Source organism: Homo sapiens, chromosome 2 (assembly GCF_000001405.40).
Source record: "Homo sapiens chromosome 2, GRCh38.p14 Primary Assembly".
Classification (NCBI taxonomy): domain Eukaryota; kingdom Metazoa; phylum Chordata; class Mammalia; order Primates; family Hominidae; genus Homo; species Homo sapiens.
In genome coordinates, this window is record NC_000002.12 from 52342603 (window position 1) to 52367217 (window position 24615).

General features: G+C 36.6%; 1 long non-coding RNA gene across 1 annotated transcript in view; it reads left to right on the plus strand.

Annotated features, from left to right (window-relative positions):
• The window catches only part of NRXN1-DT (NRXN1 divergent transcript), a 1375317-nt gene that overhangs the window by 1310002 nt on the left and 40700 nt on the right, over positions 1-24615 (plus strand). The window contains exons 9-10 of the long non-coding RNA NR_135237.1: positions 6723-8684; positions 10272-10360. This is a non-coding gene — a long non-coding RNA (NRXN1 divergent transcript). The remainder of the gene's footprint in view (positions 1-6722; positions 8685-10271; positions 10361-24615) is intronic.

Genomic DNA, 24615 nt, shown 5'->3' on the forward strand with positions numbered 1-24615 from the left:
CTAGAATCATGCTGGATCTTACAAATCATAAGATAAATAAACAACTACTAAAAAGTTTCAAGCAGAACAGCAAGATGATCTCATTCGCTTTCTAAACAAACTATTGAGTTTATGTGCTACATAGACTGTGGATTGAGATAATTCAACACAGAAGCTGAAAATAAGTTAGGGACTCTTGCGATAATCTCTTATGGCTTAGACTCACAGGCATTGTAAGTCGGCTGCAGGAAAACAATGGAATTTGAGGCATAGCATGGGGTAGACCTGACAGATTATGATATGTCCCATGGAACATGGCAAGGGTATATTAGAAAGAGAAGATCAAAGGATTGGTGGAAAAATTCATTGCATTTCCAAGTCTTTTCCTTACCGTTGCTCCTGACACTGTAGCTTTTATTTTTTTTCACCTCTTGAACTTGACATTTGATATTTCCTTTAATTCTGACTTTAGTTCTCCTTCAGGACTGCAGTTGTACTTATCCTTTGGATTGAGACTGCTTCTAACATATGACAAGAACAACCCAATTCAATACAGTCTTATCTACTTTTTGTTTGAGCTAACATGAGCAGCCAGTTTGGCCAAAAACTTTGCTGATGACTTTGGGGGAGTGATGGTAATTGCGTAACTTAAAAGATTATTTTAACTTTCCCAATTATTGAAGAACATAGATCTCAAAAATAAGTAAAATAAGTTTCACAACATTTGTTTAATACATTCTTTACAAAATACCTTGACTAATAAATGCATTACTTCAGGATTACTTGATCTGGGAGTGGGTGACCAAGAACTTTTGCCCTCCTTTTTCCAGACTGACGACAAACATATTTATGTTCACTGTGTCAAATGTCACTGCTCAATTTTTTTTTGGAAATAAATGACATTTGCATAGTTTGAAAACAGCAGAACTTGAGGAATTTTTGTTGGCTACTCAGTCAGTTATAGTTTTCTAACCAGGCTGTGGCAAGCAAACAACTTGAAAGAAAATTGACAGGAGACAAGTAGCTCTAGGTCAAAGAAAATGCTCTTAGATGACAAAATGAATTAAGGCACAGGCAAATACCTCGGAAATAAAGGTGATAGCAAAGTTGAGGAAAACAGATGTTATATTGACCTCAGTTCATTGGAATCAAATAACTAATTTGCTTACCATCGTCTAATACTTTGAAATGGTCCCTGAGGAAGCCAGGAGTAGCAGTGAATTTGTAAACTGGATACTTCCACATTTTGGTGAGGTGCATTTTGTGAGAACAAAAGCAATCCCTGTTGGAATGCAAACACAATGCTGCAATAACATTAGCATAATGTAAGGTCCCAGCTGACAGTATTCAAGGCAGCAACCTGAAATATGGGGAAATAACCACATCGGTTTTCTCTCCATTTCACTGCTTGATTGAAACACATAGCCAAGCATAACTCAGCTGACAGGTGAGAGGGACCCTCCAGCACAATGGGACACTGTCAGTAATACCTTCAGTATATTCAGTCTCAGTCAGAAGCTGAAAGGCTGAGTTGACACTCTTTCAAAAGGTCTAGAGCCTTACTCTCAAACCTGTATCAGTTTCAAGTAGCTAGTCATAGTATTCAGGTCTAAAAATATATTAAATTACCTGTTGACAGCTAGAAGTCAAGATGCCTGTTTTTTTGTGACCTTGGTTCTATTCCTTAAAATTTCTGAGTTTCAATTACCTGTTTTGTTAAAGATATATATATATGTAGTGAACCACATATTTAAGACAGGTCTCAATCAATTTAGAAAGTTTATTTTGCCAAGGTTAAAAATGCGCCTGTGACACAGCCTCAAGACGTCCCGAGGCTGAGGCTGAAGAATCACTTGGGCTCAACAGTTTGAGGCTGCAGTGAGCTATGATTGTGCCACTGCACACCAGCCTGGGTGAAGGAACAAGATACTGTTTTGAAAAAAAACAAAACAAAAAACAGCATACTAGGGGCCAGAACATAGGCAAATTATTTGAAAAATTTAGCCTCAATTTCCTTATGTGGGAAAGAAAAATAATTGTAACTTCTGAGCTATTATATCACAGAGATAGTTTAAGTATTAGACAGTCCATATAAAACACTTAGCATAGTACCTAAATAAGCATCCCATTCATGTTTATTAGAGGAATTAATACATGAATGAGTTAATGATATAATTATTTCAATTGGAATTCAAATACTAGTTATCTGAATCAGTTTGATCAATTCTACTCAATACATTTATATTGTCACCTCTCAATCTCAGCTTTTATCTATAAAATGCACTACTTGATTAGATCAATAATTCTCAAACACTCATGCATAAAAGAAGCATTCAGAGACTTCGTTAAAAATTAAGATTCCTTGGTCCCATACCAAAGGAGTCTTAATTAGAAGGTCTATGGTGAGGCCTGTGAATCTATATTTTAAAAAGCATCACAGTTGATTTCGGTTCACTTGGACAAAACATATTTTTTTAAAAGTCTGGGCTAAGATCTTTCTGGACTCTAAAGTTTTCTTCATTTTCATTACCACAAACTATTTCAAAAAAATCCACCTGCTACAATTTGAGGTTATTGACTCATTAATAAAAGAATCCCATGATCATATATATGTATGTACAGGCACATGCACAGATGCACACATACACACACACACACACACACACACAAATGTACTCAGCTGAACACTCACAGAAATTCCACTCTTACATCATCTGTACTGCTGATTAAAGTACTTGATTTTGAATGATGGGAGAAGTAACCATGATGCAGGGCTGCCATGTTGTAAACTTCCTGGAGGTATCTTAATCACATTGATCAGCTAGGTCAGCCAGCTCAGATAAGAAATCTCCTATTCAAAATGCCTAAAAGATATTCTCAAAGTCAGAGTGAAACTGAGACTAAAACAATAATTGCAGCATTCCTGACCTCATTATACTTCCTACTTCCGAATAACAATGCCTAAATACTAAATCTCTACATGAGCAACCTGACACTTAAAGTCCTGTCACGTTCCCCCTTGCGTCTCCAGAACCAGCCCAGGTTTGTGGTTGGAGAGAAGGAATGTAACTACAGGAACATTTTCTCATCTCTTTTAAATAGCCTCAAATTTCTTCTATACGAAGGCAGACACCTGGTAATCTCAAATTGAAGCCAAAGCATAAAGATAACTGGGAGAAAACACCAATCACTTCACAAACAGAGCATGAAAAATTTCACCAACCTAACAGCAGATCTGCTTTACTCCTTGCACATTTTTCTATAGAGTCATTTTGTGAATAAATCTTCCCCCTTGGAGGAGCATATTCCATTAGCTGCCAAGGCTGAGGAATGAGAGGAATCGGTGCTCTGTGAAGAGCAGCTCAGTTCACACAGCCTCGGGGCTAGCACCTTCTCAGTCTTTCTTAATGGTGCCTTTTGGGAAAAGTGCCTTCCTTTTATATCGAAACAGAAGTACATTCTATTTCCCATATGGGTATGACCCTAGGAAGAGTAGGAAGAAATAGAAAAACTAGACACTCAAATGTATTTAAGTGAGTAGCATGAAAAAACAGGAGTATTAGGTTCTCTTGTCCAGTTTTATAGTTGAATTCAGAGTAATCTCCAGCCTCTACAGTTATTGGAGGCAAAATTTAATCTGACATCAATAATAGATGAATAAATAACACAAACTCAGACATGGGAGTACAAGTGTACATGTGTGGTGATCATGAGAATATGCCTCTCAAATCTCCAACTGCAGGAAGTGTAATTGACCAAGAGTCCCAGCTGTAACCCCTAAAACCCACTGCTGTGTTTGTGCAGAGGACTCATTTCCTATGGCAGCTCTCAGTCAATGACAAAACATGGTAGAGATACTAAGGAAGTCTAGTGCTGGAGAAGCTAGCCTCTTCTAATGGATGACTTTGGCTTGCTAAATTTTCCTTAAAATGGCAAGTGTAGTCTAAGATGCTTCCATCCAAACTTTTTTCCTGCCTTCCCTTTCTCCTTCACTCTGGGTCAGGCTTGTATCATGGGCTGATGGCTCAGACTCTCCTGGCTCCCTCCCCGTTTTCTCCCACAGTTTTTTTAAATAATAAATTTTTGAATATTTAAACCCCTTTTGGTGTGCTTATCAGAAAACTCAGACTAACACAAAACACTTCTGTATATTTTTTAATTAAATATTTCAGTAAATTATTAATCAGAGTTGTAATATTTAAAAAGGTGGGATAGGCCGGGCGCGGTGGCTCACGCCTGTAATCCCAGCACTTTGGGAGGCCGAGGCGGGCGGATCACGAGGTCAGGAGATCGAGACCATCCCGGCTAAAACGGTGAAACCCCGTCTCTACTAAAAATACAAAAAATTAGCCGGGCGTAGTGGCGGGCGCCTGTAGTCCCAGCTACTTGGGAGGCTGAGGCAGGAGAATGGCGTGAACCCGGGAGGCAGAGCTTGCAGTGAGCCGAGATCCCGCCACTGCACTCCAGCCTGGGCGACAGAGCGAGACTCCGTCTCAAAAAAAAAAAAAAAAAAAAAAAGGTGGGATAAGAGCATGGTTTTAGTAGGGGAAGGACCAAATAAGTTTAATTTTGTTGTAAGCATTAGATCTACTTACTCTGTGCAAATAGTACTTCAAGTTGTTCATATCGAGCCCAGTTTATAAAAGGAGATTGTGAAATTTAGCAGTAAAGCTCATTAGTAATAAGGTTTACTTGTGCTTAATTTAATCTTTGTAGACGGCAGTCCCTCCAGTTACCCTAGGGCAAAGTGTCAAATAGATTTATTTTATTGAAGTCTTCATAAAAATGGTACTATTTGTCGAGAGTGAATAGTCTCATATCACTGAATATGAGACTAGTTGGTAAACATCTTTTGATCAGTGATGTTTGACAACAATGTTCTTGCATGGAGACCACAGTGATGTCAGAAAGCTGACTGAGCACTTTACTGTTTGGGGACCTGAGTCTTGGATGGATATCATCTCTCTAATTCAGTTTTTTGTATGTTTAAATAAAATACAAATATTCTTTGAAATGAAATATCAAACAGGACTTTAACAAAATAAGTTAAAACAAGATAATTATGATTAAAATTAGGACTAGCCTTCCTTAAAGCCCCTGATTCAGTCCCTGGTATGCTCCCTTACCAACTTAGGGCCCACTATAAGGAATTGAAACCAACACTCAAATGAGGTCTTACTATTCTGTATTCAACACTAAATTAATGCCCCCAATCTTCATAAAAAGAAAATTCATACATCTAACATTATTAATCATGAAAGATAATTCACTGAAGGTGATTTATCATAAAAATTCCACACTGAACTTCTCACGAGTTCATATTTTTCTTCATGATGAAAAATATATATGGCTTGCAGAGGATTCCTATATACAGAAAATCATTTCGTATAGCTTATGTGTCTGACACTACAGTGGTACTCAAATGTGAAAGCACTTTGAAAACAACTGATGCCTTATTTTAAAGCAACTATTCCCTCCCAAGATTTACTAAATGAGAATGTTCAAAGGTTAAGACCAGAGATTCTGTCTCCAATCAAAGCAAAATGAGATCCCAGAAGTGATTTTGATATACAGGTAAATTTGGGAACATTATTTCCACAAGAAATAATGAATCTAAATTATTTGGATTAAGGGTTGACAATTAGTCAATTTCTAATTAAAATTTCCAGGAAGATCCAGGTCTTAATTAAAACTTTGCAGAATATTTTATGATACTAGGTGGGTTTCTAAATACAGTTTAACTTTACTTTTTCTCATCTATAAATTAGAGAATATAAAAACACCCATTTCCTGTACAGTTTTTATGAGAACATTTTCTTTGAAATATGAAAGCTTAAGTGTTCCTAACATTGGTTTTAAATAAGCATTATTCACCAGTATACACATTGCATGTTGTATATGAACTATCTGTGTCCTTATCTAAGGTCAGCCCCTCTACCTGATCACTAGATCCTTCTCCTTCTTGTCTACTCAGGAACATCATTCAGACATTCCTTGTCTCTATTCTGCATCATGATTGTTATTGACTTTATCGAATACTCTCATGAACACACTCATGTGCTATAGTATCTCTGAATAAATTATCTTAACTACATACCCTTTCTTAGCTACATCCCATTTCCTGCTTCCCTTAAGAATAAAATTTCTTTATATAGTTATCTATATTTTTATCTCCAAATTTTCTCTTCCAGATACCTCATACCTAACATTCCGTCAAACACTCATCTCCATGTAGGTTATACCTGTAATTATATAACTTGGTAAATTAGTCCTGTGACTTGTCTTAACAGAAACAGTGTTCACTCTCTGTGAAATATCTTCTCTTGGCTTCCAGGGCATGACAGTCTTGGTTCCTGCCTTGCTACACTGACCATTCCTTCTTAGTTCCCTTTACTTGCTTCTCCTCATGTTTTCAATGTTTTAATGCTGGGATTCTTCAAAGTTCAGTCCATGGCCTTCCTCTCTTCTCTGTCTGTTTGTTTACAGGATAATCTTACCTAGTCTCATGGCATTATGCAGATGTCTTCCAAATTTAAATGTCCAACTTGAACCTGCCACATGAATTCCAAACGTGTCAATCCAACTCTCTAACCGACCTCTCCATTTGATGTCTAATAATCATCTCAGATTTGACTTGTCCTAAACCAAGTTCTTGACACTTCTCCCAAAATTTTGCTCCTCCCACAGTCCTCCAGATCCTAGCAAACAGTAACTCTATTTTTTTTTTTTTTTTTTTTTTTGAGACGGAGTCTTGCTCTGTTGCCCAGGCTGGAGTGCAGTGGCGCGATCTCGACTCACTACAACTTCCGCCTCCCGGATTCAAGCGATTCTCCTGCCTTAGCCTCCCGAGCAGCTGGAACTACAGGCACGTGCCACCACGCCCAGCTAATTTTTTTGTATTTTTAGTAGAGACGGGGTTTCACCATGTTAGCCAGGATGGTCTCAATTGTTCTGGAGTCTTTCTCTAATACACTACATACAATCCATAGGCAAATTCTGTTGGCGTCACCTTCGAAATCTACCCCAAATCTTACTATTTTTACAGCACTTCAACCACCAGTACCTTATCAAAAACCACTTCTATATTTCTTGTAAATTATTGGAACAGCCCTTTACCTGGTCTTCCTGTTTCTGCCTTTTGCATCCCTTCTTCCTTCCTCTCCTCCACACATACCACTAAAATCGCAGCATTGCAACTACAGTAATAAATACATCACTTCTCTGCACAAAAGCTTCTGGTGGCTTCCCCCCTCACTCAGGAAGTCTTTATAGTACTCCAGAAGATCACTTTCTGGCCTTCCCTGTTGGGCTCATTTTCTATTTCTACCTTGCCCACTCTGTTGCAGCCACACTGTCCTCCCTGCTGATTCGTGAACACACTGACCATGCTCTTGCTTCAAGAACACTTACATTGCTGTTCCCTCTGCCAGGACAGTTCCTCTAGTATCCACTCACCTCATTCAGTTTCTGCACAAATGTCACTTTTACAATAAAGTCATCCCTAAAGAACTAATTTAAAATTGTACCCTACTAAATAGAAATCCCCTTACCTCACTTAGAACACTCTAAAAGTGCTCTAAAGGACTAAATTAGCAATTTAGCCCTTTAGTACCCCACTGATTAGCAATCCCCTTACCCCACTTAGAGAGTGCTCTACTAGTACTTTAGGTAGTACCATCTAAACAGTGATGCCACTGTCAGACTAAAAATCACCATCATAGGTAGATACATTAATTTAAATCAGATAAACGTAATCATCTAATTTGAACATTATATTTCATCTACAATATCCACTTATTCAACAGGTATTTATTGACCATGCTGTACAATTTTCTAGGTGCAGAAGATACATCACTTAACAAAGAAGATCACTACACTTGGTTACTTGGAGTTTATATTTGAATTGGTAAAATATATGGCAGAAACTGAAAGTGCTGAGAAGGACCAAATTAGTAATGAGTAATTTAGCCCTTTAGTGCCCTACTGATTAGCAATCCTCTTACCCCACTTATAGAGTGCTCTTCTAGTACTTTAGATAGCAGCATCTAAACAGTAGCATCTAAACCCCTTGGGATTGCTAATTACCCTACTTTAGGAGGTAATTACATGAGGATGGTGAAGCCTTTATGGAAGGAATTAGGGTCCTTATAAAAGCACTTGAGGCAGTGGGTCCACTCTCTTTTGCTCTTCCACCATGTGAGGACACAGCATTCAAAGCACCACCTTGGAAGCAGAGATAAGGCTCTCACCAGACACCAAACCTGCCTGCCCCTTGATTTTGGACATCCAGCCTTCAGAACTGTGAGAAGTACATTTCTATTATTTATGAATTACCCAGTCTGGTATTTTATTATAGCAGCATAAAGAGACTGTGATAGAAGGTATGAATTTTTGTTCTAAACGAGGACTGGGGGTGGTAGGAACTTGAAAACAACGCTAATATAACAAATCAATTAGATTGCTTCTAGCTATTTTATTTTTCTTTCATTAATTAGTAATTCCAATCCAGTTCTGGGTGTGAAGTTCTACAGGTAAAACATGTTCCTTTTAGATATTTTCCTCTGAAAAGAATTGGGGAAATATTGCAAAGGAAAAGGAAAAGGGAAAGGAGTGATTCTGACATTTATGAATTTGTGATATTATGTACTGAAATTATGACCTGATTGTATATTTCTCCCTAGTCTGCATATAGGGAGGTTATTCAGGTAAACTACTACTGTTGCTTACTGAATTATTCCAGTGTCACTTCTCCCTACAACACACGTGGCATCATAATAACATGATGGTGTCACTCTGCCATCTCGAATAAGTAATCAAAGAAATCAGGAAGTGAGTTATAATGAGACTGTTGCCAAAGTATGGAATTTCTTACGAGTAATATGTTTTTTGTTTGTTTGTTTAAATTTGATTTGGGGGGAAAATTATGTATTCTGCATTGATAAGTTAAACAAATTATGTTTTTTATCCCATTATAATAAATATTAACATTTATTATCTTAAAGATTAATTGTTTTTTTATAAGATAAAATAACAATTGTAACTCAAATAATTTAGTTTTAAGTATCTAAGCTTTTTATTAACGTAGAAGAATCAGAGATAAATAGATAAGGAAAGGGGATTGTCCCCGGGATTTTTTTTCTTTTGTGATCTTGGCTCACTGCAACCTCTGCCTCCTGGGTTCAAGTGATTCTCCTGCCTAAGCCTCCTGAGTAGCTGGGATTACAGGCTTCTGCCACCACACCTGGCACATTTTTGTATTTTTAGTAGAGACGGAGTTTCACCACGTTGGCCCAGCTGGTCTCCAACTCCTGATCTCATGATCTGCCTGCCTCGGCCTCCTAAAGTGCTGGGATTACAGGCGTGAGCCATCGCACCCAGCCAGGAATATATATATATATATATATATATTTTTTTTTTTTAGAAAAATAGAGAATACCTATCACACAGGATAGGATTATCATAAGAAGGCAAAGAGGTAACATTTGAAAAAAATTTTGTAAATGTATTATTACTATACTGTGAATGTTTGATAGAAAAAGAAAGAACAAATGAAAGAAACTATTACTAGAATAATAGTTGTTCCTTATCTACACCATCCAGAAAGTTTCTGTAACACAGTGAAAACTTCAGTGTCATTTTAGTTATTAAATCATGGAGACAATTCGAAACCACACCAAACATACTCATTTAAATATCTTACGATCTCTTGGTTTTAAAAGTTTGTAAGATAACTCAAATTAGCCAATTTTAAGTTTAAATTAAAATAATATATATAATTGTTTTAATCTAATATAATTTCTACAATTTTAGGAAGTACAGTAAAATCCATGGAATTGGATGTGAAGTTTATTAGTATATTTTAAAGGAAAATCTGCAGGGCAGAAAAACACACAAAGACTAGTTAATCCTTTGTAAACTTCTATTGCCACTTCTGAAATATAAATTAAATTTTTAAAAAATTTTGTTTAGAAAGTGTCAAAAATTGTTAATAAGAAAAGTCACTAATAGGATTGGAACATGTTACTTATGTTAATAGTGCATACTTTAATGCTTAACATCAGGTTGCTATAATTTAAATGTGTTCCTCAAAGTTCATGTGTGGAAAACTTAATCCCCAATGCAACAGCGTTGGGAGGAGAATCCCAATAAGGGGTGATTAGGTCATAAGGGCTTTGCCCTTAGGAATGCATTAATGTTGTCATTGCTAGAGTGGGTTAATTATCTTGAGGGTAGGCTTGTTAAAAGGAAGTTAAAACCCCTCTTTATCTCTTGCTTTCCCAAATTCTCTCTAGCCCTTCCACCTTCTGCCATGGGATGGCACAGCAAGAAGGCCCTCATCAGATACAGGCCCTTCAGCCTTGGTTTTCCAGTCATTAGAACTGTAAGAAATAAATGTCTTTTCTTTATAAATTACCTAATCTGTGGCATTCAGTTATAGCAACACAAAACGGACAAAGACACAGGTGTTACTTTTCTGCATTATTTTTGGATCTCATCCTGACCTAAGATAGCAATAGCTGTATCATTAGTGAGTCAACTCTGTTCGCTAACAGCATGACAGTAAGAAATAAAACCACTCATCACAACAAAATGGGTAATCTCACTTGTGAAGAAGCTAACTCTCCCAAAATGGTTAGGAAAATAAAGCTTCTGTGCAACTAGATAACATCCAAATATAGACAAAATGAGAAAAATGTGGTTGGTAGAAAATTCAAATTAAAGTGATTTTTCAAATATTCTAAGATGCAATGTACTTTTATTTCTGGAATATCATTTTTTGAAACACAGTAGTGCATACTCTGCCAAGGGCGAGACAAGCAAATGCTCTTTATCTAGCTTATCTAAATAACCTATATATAATAGTTTATGATATAATGTAATATAAATAACCCAGTATATAACCTATGATAATTATAACCCAGAATAATTAAAAGTGTTGACTTTTCCAAACCAAGAAATTCATACAGGAGTTTTAAAATACTATATCATAATTACACTTTGAACATGAAATATGCAGAGCTGTTATTCATTGTAAAATTTTGTATTAATTTATTTTTCTATGGTAGTTTGAGAAATTCATTGTAAATATAGGCTTCAAAATATACCAATTTTCAAGTTCTCTTCTAAAAAATACTTTCTTCTATGTAAATCTTCATTAAATGTATGCAGCTTTGTGATAAACACTGTAGGGGTAGAGAAGTATGTAACAGTTGCTTTTGTCACCAGGAACTTTCAGTCTAGTAAAAAAAAAAAAAAAAAAAAAAGCCAACTATGAAGGATGTGGGTTAGTAAATAAATAAAAGTAAGGTAAATAAAACTCAGCTCAAACAGGCACACTAAGCCCAATTCAAGGATCCAGGAGTCATAATACGTATTTGTCACAGTGGCTTTTCTATAGGAGTTCACCTGCTATACGGGGAGATAGACTGATACACAGATCATTCTAGTGTAAAGCAGTAATTTACAAAACAGAGGTGAGCACAAAGTAATAAATCCTTCATTTACAGAGTGTTTTCTGAGAATTTATGAAGATATGCTTTCAAATTATACACTAACATTTGTGATCATTTTTTAATGAAAGCACATGAATTAGCCATGGATGATGTTACGAGCTTTGGCCTTGGTGGGAGAAGATACAATTTCTGTTGATGTCAGTAATTTCACAAAGTTTTATGATATTGAGCCAGTTCCTGTAACCTCTTCATCATTTCCTTCCACATAAAAAGAAAGGTTTTGCTTGATTGGGGTTCTAAATATGGGATCCACTGACACTCAGGAAGAAATCTGTGGGTAGAGTTCACAGGGTCTATAAATTGGAATGGAAAAACAAAATCATATTCACTAACTTCTAATAGACATTTACCATTTCCTTTCATTATGAATGTGCATGGCTAATCATAGAAGTATTTGCAGCACCTCCAAATTTGACACCACGAGACGTCACAATCACAGGTATTTTTCATGTGACATTATAGAATTGCAGATACTTCAAAATGTTAATGAGATAACATTATTTTACCCCGTTATACAATATTTTAATATGTAATAATACATACTGAAATATCACAAATTAGGTTTTTAAAGAATATTTTGATAATTATATTTCAGTGTCGTTGGATTATTTATAATTCCATGTATACATTTTATGCATGTAAGAACATTATTTTGAAAAATGAGTTCACCAGACTTCCAAAAGGGTCAAAAAAAAGGAAGTCAAAAATTCCTGCTGTATACAATCTTGAGGACTCAGTACAAATACGTAATATTTTCAGCACTAATTATTATCTAGGGCATTTACACTTTTCTATTCTCACCATGCAATAATTTCTAAGAGTGTTAAGGCAAAACAGAGATTAGTAAAGACTGGAATATATGATGAGTTTTTACAGCTTTTAGCATATTCTAGCGGTGTAAAGCATCTGAACATGAAAATGGAAAACAACAGCAAGTAAAACCAACAAGCAATGCAGCCACATTTTGTAGAATTTCTGTGTGCATTTTTTTCAAGAATGCCTCTTGTTAGTTTAGACACTCATGTGTCTAATCCATTTTGGTTTTCTGACTTCTTGGCCTGGCTTCATCAATGTTCCTGTGACCAATCACCTAATTTCACCTTCTGGATCACCTCTTCCTGACACTAGATATCAAGCAGCCTGACAAAACAACTTTAGAAAATACTTAGGAAATCTTCTTAGTTAGAGAGTTTTATAGTGGATAAAGACTTAAGGGAAGGCTCTGAGAAATTATACTTGGAAAATTAGAGGATGCAGTTCAGGATTTCCCAGCTTAGAGGAAGAGACCTGGAGGAGAAGTGCGTGTCGTGCCAAATGAAGACGATGGCCTATCCAGAGTCGATTCTATTAATATGTGTGTGTGTCTGCATACATGTGTGCATGTTGTGGGACCGTGGAAAATAGTTCAGGGTAGGCATGTAAGCTCAGGTTACAATAAATCAGGAAAACCAGGAATTTAGCAATTATACATGAAGAAAGTGATCAAAAATACTACTTTGAATAAATTACATAAGAAATAAGGGGGAAATGAACGTATGTACATGATTAGCATCATCATTACTACTTTAATTCTGTGTTTTATATTGGCTATGCTTTTATGCTACCTGTAATTCTTTTAGAATCTAAAATTTATTTTTTTCTGGATATTCTAGGCCTACTTTTTAATTATTTTAATGGTTTTCATTCTGATTTGCAGAAAGAATAGTGTTGTTCATGGTTTTGCTCCTGTTCCGCTGACTTGCTGACTTCTGCTCATTTTTTCAGGAGTCAACAGAATGGAAGGTGGGATGGGGGATCAGACTGGGTTAGACCCGTGATAAACCTTGGGAAAACATTCTTTGCTCTCTGAAATTATTGCAGTTTTCTCTAGTCTGTGGGGGCCCACTTAGCTTTCCTTTGTTTATATTCTTTATTTACTCACCTAAGCAGTGCATAAATAATTTGTTTGGAGCCTCATTAGGAGTTTAATGAACTTTAACCGAAGGAAATCTTGTGAGATTTCTGACAAAAGTAAACAAACAGGTACAGCTCTACATGGCCCCACCAGCTTAAGTGATGGTATTTAATTTTATAAAATTTAACTAAGATGGAATAAAAATGATGTTATTTCTGAAAAGCAAAATTTGCAATATAATGATAAGTAGATGTGAAAAATACACTTATTCTAAAATTACTAAGCAATCTGATTAAAAGATGGGAAGATTCAATGAAAGTTTTCATCATATAATGTAATTTAAATGCTTTATAACAAATTTACATAATTTCAGTGCAGTGAAAAGCAATTTCAGGCCTTCTTTCCACAATTTATAAATTTGTAAAATGGTTATAGTCAGGGGTTTCCTTAACTCAATAGCACTGCATTGATTTACAAAACACAAACAAAAAAGTCTCAATAGTTGTTCATATTTACAAAGGAAAACTTTGTGTAGTGATCTTTAAGTTGCCTTTTATGAATAGGAATATAAACATGCTTTAGAATCAAAGGGGTATCAACAGGAAATTTGCTGTTCTCTGATTTTTCTAGGCTTTTCGGCCTGCTACCCAAAGCTTCAAAAATAAACATAGTTTAGTGAAGCTTCTAAACTCAGGGTGTATAGAGAAACGACAAGGAAAGAAAGGAAAGGAAATGGTTTGTGTCTGACATAATGATGAAGTGTATGGTTGCTGCTCACTGGTGAAGATAAACAAAATGTAGCTGAATAGAAGCATGTCTTCTGTATCTTGTCCATTTTTACATACCAGGATAAAACATCTGAACTGATTAATCAAAGGTTATTCCAGAATGATCACAGAGACATATAAGTTCTGAAATAAATATTTATACATATGGAGGTATTACATAGTCTTGATTCTGGAAACATAGAAGTCTTGGAAGTAATTCTAGTCTTAACTAGCAGTTCTCTGTCTATGGATTGGTGTTTTTCTAGAATGATGTTTCAATGGTAAAATTTATAGTAATTTAAATCTGTTCTTTGGGAGAGTTGTGAAAGGTTTTTTATTTTACCATGTTGTTAGAGTGTTAGTTCTTTTCTTTCTTGTAAGATGAATACTATAGACATTGTTTACATGGCACTTCCTAGCCTGTGTAAGGCTATAAACTGCTTCAGATGCTTTAGAAAGTATTTTATTGCTTCCATTTAAATATATAAAGTTAACTAACTACAAATTATATATCCAATTATTTAACATTATTTTAGGATATCTACTTGATTACTAGTGATATGGTTTGACTGTGTCCCCGCCCAAACCTCATTTTGAATTGTCATTCCTATAATCCCCACATGTCATGGGAGGGACCTGGTGGGAGGTAATTAAATCAGAGGGGTAGTTACCCTCATGCTGTTCTCATGACAATGAGTAAGTTCTCATGACATCTGATGGATTATAAGGGGCTTTTGCCCCTTTGCTTGGCACTTCTCTTTGCTGCTGCCATGTGTAAAAGGATGTGTTTGATCCCTCTTCTGCCATGACTGTAAGTGTGCTGAGGCCTCCCCAGCCATGATGACTGTGAGTCAATTAAACCTCTTTCCTTTATAAATTAGCCAGTTGTGGGTATGTCTTTATTAGCTGCATGAGAATGAACTAATACAGTAAATTTGTATGACAGAAAGTGGGGCGCTGCTGTAAAGATGCCCAAAAATGTGAAGGAGATTTTGGGACTGGGTAACAGGCAGAGGCTGGAATAGTTTGGAGGGCTCAGATGAAGACAGGAAAATGGGGGAAAATTTGGAATGTCTTAGAGACTTGGAGGGCTCAGAAGACAAAAAGATGTGGTAAAGTTTGGAATTTCTTAGACACTTGTTAAATGGTTTTGACCAAAATGCTGATGGTGATATGGACAACAAAGTCCAGGCTGAGGTGGTCTCAGATGGAGATGAGAAACTTGTTAGGAACTGGAGCAAAGGTGACTGTTTATAATCTTATGCTTTAGCAAAAAGACGGGCAGCATGTTGCCCCTGCCCTAGAGATCTGTGGAACTTTGAACTTGAGAGAGATAATTTATGGTATCCAGTGGAAGAAATTTCTAAGCAGCAAAATATTCAAGAAGAAGTGGAGCATAAGAGTTTGGAACATTTGCAGCCTGACAATGCAATAGAAAAGAAAAATCCATTTTCTAGGGAGAAATTCAAGCTGGCTGCAGAAATTTGTATAAGTAATCAGGAGCCAAATGCTAATTGACAAGACAATGAGAAAAATGTCTCCAGGGCATGTCAGAGACCTTCACGGCAGCCACTCCCATCATGGACATGGAGGCCTAGGAGGGAAAAATGTTTTTTGGGCCCAGGTCCAGGGAACCCCTGCTCTGTGCAGCCTTGGGACTGGGTGCCCTGCATCCAAGCCACTCCAGTCAGTGTTAAAAGGGGCCAAGGTACAGCTCAGGCTGTGGCTTCAGAGGATACAAGCCTTAAGCCTTGGCAGCCTTCATGTAGTGTTGGGCCTGTGGGTACACAGACATCAGGAAATGAGGTTTGGGAACCTCTGCCTAGATTTCAGAAGATGTATGAAAATACCTGAATGTTGAGGCAGAAGTCTGCTGCAGGGGTGGAGCCCTGCAGAGAGGCACAGAGAACCTCTGCTAGGGCAATGCAGAAGGGAAATGTGGGGTTGGAGCCCCCATGTAGAGTCCCTACTGGGGCACTGCCTGTTGGAGCTGTGAGAAGAGGGACACCATCCTCTTGACCCCAGAATGGTAGATACACCAACAGCCTGCACCATGTGCCTAGAAAAGCCACAGGCTCTCCAGGCCATGAAAGCAGCCAGAAGGGAAGCTGTACCCTGCAAAGACACAGGAGCAGAGCTGCCAAAGGCTGTGGCAGCCCACTTCTTGCATCAACATGACCTGGACGTGAGACACGGAGTCAAAGGAGATCCTTTTAGGACTTTAAGGTTCAATGACTGCCCTGCTGGATTTCAGACTTGCATGGGCTTATAGTCCCTTTTTTTTTTTGGCTAATTTCCACCACTTGGAATGAGTGTATTTACCCAATGCCTGTACCTCTATTGTATCTAGGAAGTAACTAACTTGCTTTTGATTTTATAAGGTCATAGGCAGAACGGTCTTGCCTTGTCTCAGACTATGGACTTGGACTTTTGTGTTAATGCTAAAATTGATGTAGAAACTTTCTTGGTCACTTTGCCAGTCAGGACCTCCAACTGGCGACATCCACCCTCACCCCCTGCCTGGGGCTCACTTGGCCCTGGGCCTGCAGCTGGAGTCACCTTGTCCACTCATCTCCCCTTGACTAATATTGGCTGGCAACCAGCTGAGTCTGAGGATGGGCTGGGAACACCCCAGCCCACCTATATTATATCTTGTACCCACATACGTTGGTTCCTGAGCTCTTGTCCTGTGTCCAAGAAGATGGAGGATACACTGACAGTTGAAGGGTTAGGATGGGTGGAGAAGAATTTTATTGAGTGATGGAACAGCTCTCAGCAGAGAGGGGAAGCAGCAGGGGGTGGTGCCCCACCCCTGCAGTTGGGTGGTTTTGTTTTCTCATTGTAGCTGGGTCTGGAGCTTTTCATAAACTCTGAATGGCAAGTGTGTGCTAATTGGTTTGTGAGTATGCAAAAAAGGTTAAAGTGAAGACATCACTCAAAGGAGGGCAAGACAGTATAGAAAACCAATTAGGAAAGAGTAGGTTTATGTAAAATAGGTGAAGGGTGGGGATCAATCAGAGCACAGTATGCCAATGGGAAGACAGGTTCTCAACATGGTCTGAGGATTTAGCTTGGCTTTCAGGCTTTAAACTGTCTTCAGCTTGGAAGTGGAGATTCACTGCGGACCTACCCCTATCTGCCCAGGCATTTGACTGCCTCCTGTTACTATCAAAATGAGTTAAGACTTTGGGGAACTGTTGGGAAGGCATGATTGTGTTTTGAAATGTGAGGACATGAAATTTGGAAGGGGACAGAGACAGAATGATATGGTTTGGCTGTGTCCTCTCTGAAATCTCATCTTGAATTGTAGTTCTTATAATCCCCACATGTCATGGGAGGAACCAGATGTAAGGTAATTTAATCATGGGGGCAGTTACCTTCATGCTGTTCTTGTGATAGTAAGTGAGTTCTCAAGAGGTCTGATGGTTTTATAAGGGGATTTTTCCCCTTTTACTCAGCACTTCTCCTTGCTGCCGCCATGTGAAGATGGACATGTTTGCTTCCCCTTCCACCAGATTGTAAGTTTTCTGAGGCCTCCCCAGCCATGCTGAACTGTGAGTCAATGAAACTTCTTTCCTTTCTTTTATAAATCACCCAGTCTCATGCATGTCTTTGTTAGGCACATGATAATGGACTAATAAAACTATTTTATTAATAAGTGATCAAGTAATCTCTTTTTGAGACAGGGTCTTGCTCTGTCAACTGGGCTGGTGTGATCACAGCTCTCATGCAACCTCCACTTCTGGGGCTCAAGCAATCCTCCCACCTCAGACTCTTGAGTACGTAGGACTAGAGGCTTGCACCACCACACCCAGCTAATTTTTGTTTATTTGTTAATTTTCTTTTTTGTAGAGATGTGATTTCTCCACGTTTTTTAGTCTGGTCCTGAACTACTGGGGTCTAGTGTTCTGCCTGCCTCAACATCCCAAAGTGCTGGAATTACAGGCCTGAGCCACTGCACCCGGCCTAGCTTGTAGTCTCTTGAAGTACAGAATTGAAACTGGCAAAATAAATTGGCTACAGGTTTTTAGACTGGATTAAATTAATATATATTATTAAAAAGATCATATTGTCCCATTATTAAAAATTATTTGAAAATAAAGTCAACCATAATCCCAAAACACTGATGACCCATTTACTTCTTAAATTATTATTTTCACTTTCTGTTTTGTACTCAAGGATGTTTTTGCAGTTTATTTATTTATTTTAATCATTTAGGTATCAGAGCAAGTATTTCAATCTTCATAGGGTTTACCTCTACCTTAGCTAAAGAGTAAATCTCTGTTACCCTCTCATTGTCATGCTTCCTTATATTTCCTTTTGTTTGTTTTCCTTTATAAGACCTTTAATATGTAAAATAATTACTTTTTTATGGTTGCTATTTCCTCAGTTGACGTTATCTCTATGAGGGCAGGAATGTTGCTTATGTTTCCAGATATAGTAATACAAATAATACCTATCCTATAATATATAATAAAAAAATTACTGAGTGAATGAATGAAAAAATCAGAAAAGCTTTCATAAATTAAGGGCTGATAGTAAAGGTATAAGCTAGCAATTCATATAGCAGTAAAGACTGAAGTCCTTAGATTTCCAATGATTAGAAAAATATCTATACTCCAAGGATAATTCTTAGAAAACACTCACCTTTCTTTTAAGGATGGAAATATATTTTTATTGTTTAATGTTATCACATTGTATAAAATGTACTACAATTTGTTATTGTTTCAATGATGACCATTTGGCACAGTTCCAATTTGAGATTATTTATGAATAAGATTGCTATGAATATACACACATTTATAAACTTTTGTGTGAACATTTTATGGGCATTCTGTTTTGAAGGGTAAATGCCAAGGAGTTGAATGCTAGCTTATAGCATTGGTGTACCCTCATCTTTGTAAGAAACTGCCATATATTTATCCAGAATAACTGCACCGTTTTACATTCCCTGTAGACTATGAAATTTCCAGTTGTTCCACATCCTCACCAATACTTGACACTGCAACATTTCTTTATTTTAACTATTTGTGTGGATAAAAGCTATTATCTCTTTATGAAATAATATCTCTCTGAGGAATAATGATGTCAAACACCTTTTTATGGGTTTATTATTTTTATATAGTAATTTGAGAAGTATTGAATAAAATATTTTTTCTATTGTATTTTTGTTGTTTTTTAAAATTATTAATTTATATAAGTTTTTGTATATTCTGGATGCAAAGCATTTATCAGTATATTATAAATAATACATAATATATAAAATATAATAATATATAAAATATAAATTACATATATACACACACATATACTGAGAATAGAATGTTTTCTTCCAGTATGTGCATTGCCTGCTTATTTTTTTACTGTGTGTCTCTTTAAGGATAGATATACTCAATTTTGATGAATTTAAATTTAACATTTCCTTATAATAAGGATAGTGCTTTTTGTCCTATATAAGAAATTTTTATTTAACCTACAGTTGTAAAGATACTCTTATTTTTTATAGAAGCATTACGACCTTAGCTATGATTCTTTTAAGTCTATTATCCATCTCAAATTAAATTTTGTCTATCAAGTAAAATAGAGTTCAAAGTTCATTTTTTTCCATATGGATATCCAACTGTTACAGCAGCATTTGTTGAAAAGCCTTTCCTTTTCTCACTGAATTACACTGGCTCCTTTGTCAAAAATCAGTTGACTATATATGTGTGATTTTTATTTCCGGACTCTATCCCTGTTTCTGATTTTAAGGAGAAAGCATACGTGCTAGCATTAAGGGTAATGTTATCTATAGAATTTTTTTTTTCATAGATGTCTTTTCTAAAATAGAAGAAGATATTGTCTATTCCTAGTTTACTAAAAGATCATTATAGTGAATGGCTGCTGAATTTTGTCAATTGTTTTTTTCTGCTTTTAGTGATTAATCATATGATTTCCCCCTTATTCTATAATGTGATGATTTAAACATTGATTAATTTTTGAACCTAGGATTTTGTGAAGAATTTTTGTGTCTATGCTGGTCTTGTTTTTGTTTTGCTATTATAATGCATTCTCTAGTTTTCTTATTAGAGTCATCATGGATCATAAAATGAATCAACAAATGTTACTTCTTCCTTTTTCATTTTCTGAAATCATTTGTATAAGATTGATGTTGTATCCTACTTTAATGTATGATGGAATTGACTGGTCAAGAGAAATGGGACCAGAGTTATTTTTTTTAAGGTTTTTTTTTTTTTTTATGAGAAATTCTATTTTTTAAAAAGAAACTTTTCCATTTCTTCTTGGTATTAAATACATTGCTATAAAGTTGTCTCTTATGTTTTTCTTCCTTTTGATGTCTGTGGAATCTGTGGTAATGTCCTTTCTTTCATTCTTAATATTGCTATTGGTGCTTTCTCTTTTTATTATTTGATTAGTTTTGCAAGGGCTATGACAACTGTATTAATATTTTTTTGTTTACTTTGTGATCTTTTTATTTATTTCCTATCTGCTATTTTATTGATTTCTACATTCATGTTTATTTTTCCTTTCTTCTGTTTACTTTTGACTTAATATGCTTTGTTTCTCCAGCTTTTTAAGTTAGAAGCTTAGAATTTTTTATTTAAAATATTCAATATACCCATTACATATTATAATTATTTCTATAAATACTGCTTTATCTAATAGGTTTTTACATGTTTTGTTTTAATCTTCATTCAGTGCTAAATATTTTCTTCTTTTCCATGTAAACTTTTAGTTCATAACAAATGCAGAAATGTGTTTATTAATTTTCAAGTATTTGGATATTTTATAAATATTATTGAATTTTATTTATTAGGGGTTATTAAAAAACACACTCTGCCTGAAATTTCCTGAGACTTCTATTATGGCCCAATTTGTTCATCTTGGTCAGTGTTCCATGTGAAATTGAAAATAATGTGTATTCTGATGTTGATGGGTGTAGAGCTCTGTGTATTTCATGAAGTGAACTCTTTATTTCTGATATATTTTTTTCAATTCTGAAATTTCCATTGACGTCTTTTGTATCATTTCTCTGTTGAAATTACCTGTTTATGCATTAGTCCACCTGTAACACTAGATGCTTTAATACACCTACCATTGTTATCTTACAATTTTTCCTTTCTAATTCTAACATCTGGACCATCTATGGATCACATTGTATTGACTATTTTACTTTTGACAAGTCCCTTTTTCCTACTTCACTGTATCTCTCAAAAGATACATATTTGCCAAACTTTATCTTTACATCTTGTGATGGTTAATACTGAGTGTCAACTCGATTGGATGCAAAGTATTGATCCTGGGTGTGTCTGAGTTTGCTGCCAAAGGAGATTAATTTAACATTTGAGTCCGTGAGCTGGGTAAAACAGACTCATCCTTAATCTGAGTGGGCAGCATCTAATCAGCTGCCAGCACAGCTTTGATAAAAGCAGGCAGAAGAACATGAAAAGGCTAGGCTGGCTTAGCCTCCCAGCCTACATCTTTCTCCCAGCCTGGATGCTTCCTGCTCTTGAACATCAGACTCCAGGTTCTTCAGTTTTGGACTCGGACTGGCTTTCTTGCTCCTCAGACTGCAGACAGCCTATTGTAAGACCTTATGATTGTGTGAGTTATTACTCCTTAATAAACTCCACTTTTTATATACATGTATCCTATTAGTTCTGTCTCTCTAGAGAACCCTGATTAATATACATCTTAAAACAATGAGTAGAAACGGAAATGAATGAAATATGTCCCCCAGAAAAGAGCGTATCTCTTGCTCTCTCAGGCTGCTAATGAAGGAGGATGAGCCACTTTAATTGGTGATTTTGCTCAGCCTTGGATTTATTGCACCATTAGATCGATTCAGTTTACCTCTGTCCTTATATTTAAAAGATGTGGTATTAAGACATTTTATTTGTTAGGTTTTGGGTTGTGAGCCCTAGTGAGATCTTCAGATTTCTTGATGCTTTATAACCTAATTAGCAGTTTCCTGATTTGTCAAAGATCTCTCTCTCTCTCTCTCTCTCTCTCTCTCTCTCTCTCTCTCTCTGTCTGTCTTTCTCTCTGTCTGTCTCTCTCTCTCTCCTTTATATCACAGCCAATAGCTTTTTGACTTGCTGGGGAATTCTCTTTACTTTCCAGCCCTTTCTGTTCCTCAGGAAATACAGCCTTTGGTTATCTCCGCAGTACACTCTGTGAATTTTGATGCATTTTAGGGTTATTTCTCTGCCCTTCTTTCCTGCTCCCAGCGATTAGCAGGATTATGCTTTGTTACTTGGTGAAAGTGGTATGTGTTTTGAGGCATCACTCTTTTCCTGTCCTCACAGTTTTCAGCATTCCCCTTGCTACCACTGTATACTGTAGGCCCACAGTAAAAAGTCAGTGTATAAAAGTACACTTATTTTGTTACTAGAGATCCCTGGGATTCTAGGCCATCATGACAGTCACAATGTTATTACTTCCCATTTAATAGAGACTATTATAATCCTTTAATGCTAGAAGAATCTGTCCACTGTCATTGGAAGTTGTTACCCTACAGTGAAAACTGAAAGCTTATATTTATTGACAGAAAATGACAGTAAATTGGGATACCTGAGCTTGGACTTTAAGTATATTGTCTTACAAATTCTGATGAAGTCTATGAATGCTATATATTTACAATTAGGCACAAAATGTGAGGGGATGATGCCCTGCTAAGAAAAATAGCAATAGAATTTATATTTTGTTTATTTCTCAGGTATAGGAACAAGAGTGATGCACACACTTGTTTTCTTTTCCTTTCTTCTCTTTTCTTTTCAAGGATACAATACATTTTATTAACTGCAATCACCATGCTGTGCTTTAGGTCTCCAGAACTTATTCATCTTATAACTGAAAGTTGATACCATACAGCAATCATCTCTCCCCTTCCCTCACCTTCCAGCCCCTAGTAACCACTATTTACTCCTTTTGGTGTGAGTTTGACTTTTTAAATTAATTTAATTTAATTTTAAGTTCTGGGATACACGTGAAGGACGCACAGGTTTGTTACATAGGTAAACGTGTGCCACGGTGGGCAAACACTTCTTTTCTAAATTCTAAAGGTCAGTGTTTTGAGACTTTACATGCATTGTCCTAGAAGCTGAGCAGATGTTTCTGTGGGCTAAAATACATAAGAGAGACCTATAGGAAATAAGAGCTCAACTGGGAGACAGTGGTATTGATAGAGGCTGAAAACAAAAATGAACCAATATTTTAATAAGTCATCTCTCTGAAGAGCAAGACAGTGAAGGGATTCGCTTATAAGTTGTGAGATGGAAACCAGGGATTGCAAACAAAGCAGCATGTTTAAAACAGAGGATATGGACAGAAACCATAAATAAGAACAAAGACTGCCCTGATAGCTGCAGCAGTTATTTTTTTATTTTTTAAATAGGTTTCCTGTAGTCTTAGGCACTGGGAAGAATGCCAATATTATTTGCCATGCCCCTATGGTCTATGAATGTACCATGATCTTTCTATTGTAGTGTCTTTGCTTTTTCTGCCTAACATAGTTTCTCATCTTCCTTAACCTTTAACCTGACCAACTTCTTTTCAACCACTGGGATTCAGCGTAGATGATGTCTCCTGAAATGAAGCCCCCCTTAATTTGATGATTCTTATTTATTCTTCTTCTGGTCTCAGATTCTTCTAAGTTGTCTGATCAGGAATAAAAAACTGTAGAGCAAAGTCCACATCGTATTTGTTATCTGTCTCCCTCGCCATTGGCAAAGCCCCGATACATAGTGAGTGCTTAGTGATAATTAAATGCTGTACATAGTAATTGGGTATTTGTATTTTTTTCTCTTTTTGAGACAAGGTCTCACTCTATTGCCCAGACTGGAGCATATTGGTGTGATCTCAGCTCACTGCAGCCTCCTCCTCCCAGGCTTAAGCAATCCTCTCACCTCAGCTTCCCTAGGAGCTGGCACTATAGGTGCATATCACCTGGCTAATTTTTAAATTTTTTGTAGAGATGAGGTCTCACCATGTTGCCCAGACTGGTCTCGAACTCCTGGGCTCAAGTGATCTACCTGCTTTGGCCTCTCAAAGTGCTGGGATTACAGGTGTGAGGCACCCCACCCAGCCGTATTTTTTCTTATCTCAGGGAAATCTTTCTAGAAGGGAAGAATGCTGTGAAGAAACCTCTTTTTCGGAAAGAAGTGAGAAGTTTGAAGCAAAGTGAGCTACTTGGGAGATGCTTGGTTGTGTAGTCCCTACCTGACAAGCCTTTCTCCCCAATACCCAGCCTCAGATCAGTTTGCTGTGATATGCAGTGCTTGGCATCCCCACCATGAAGATGACAGGGTACACTGAATCCAGATGAAAGGAGGACCCCACATTCTCTTATATTCTTCCTATACTTTATAGAGAGGAACTTTAATGCAGCCAATCAACTGTCTCACTACTAATTATCTAATGACTCTCCCATAGTTAAAGTCACATGAGACATTTTGTGCCT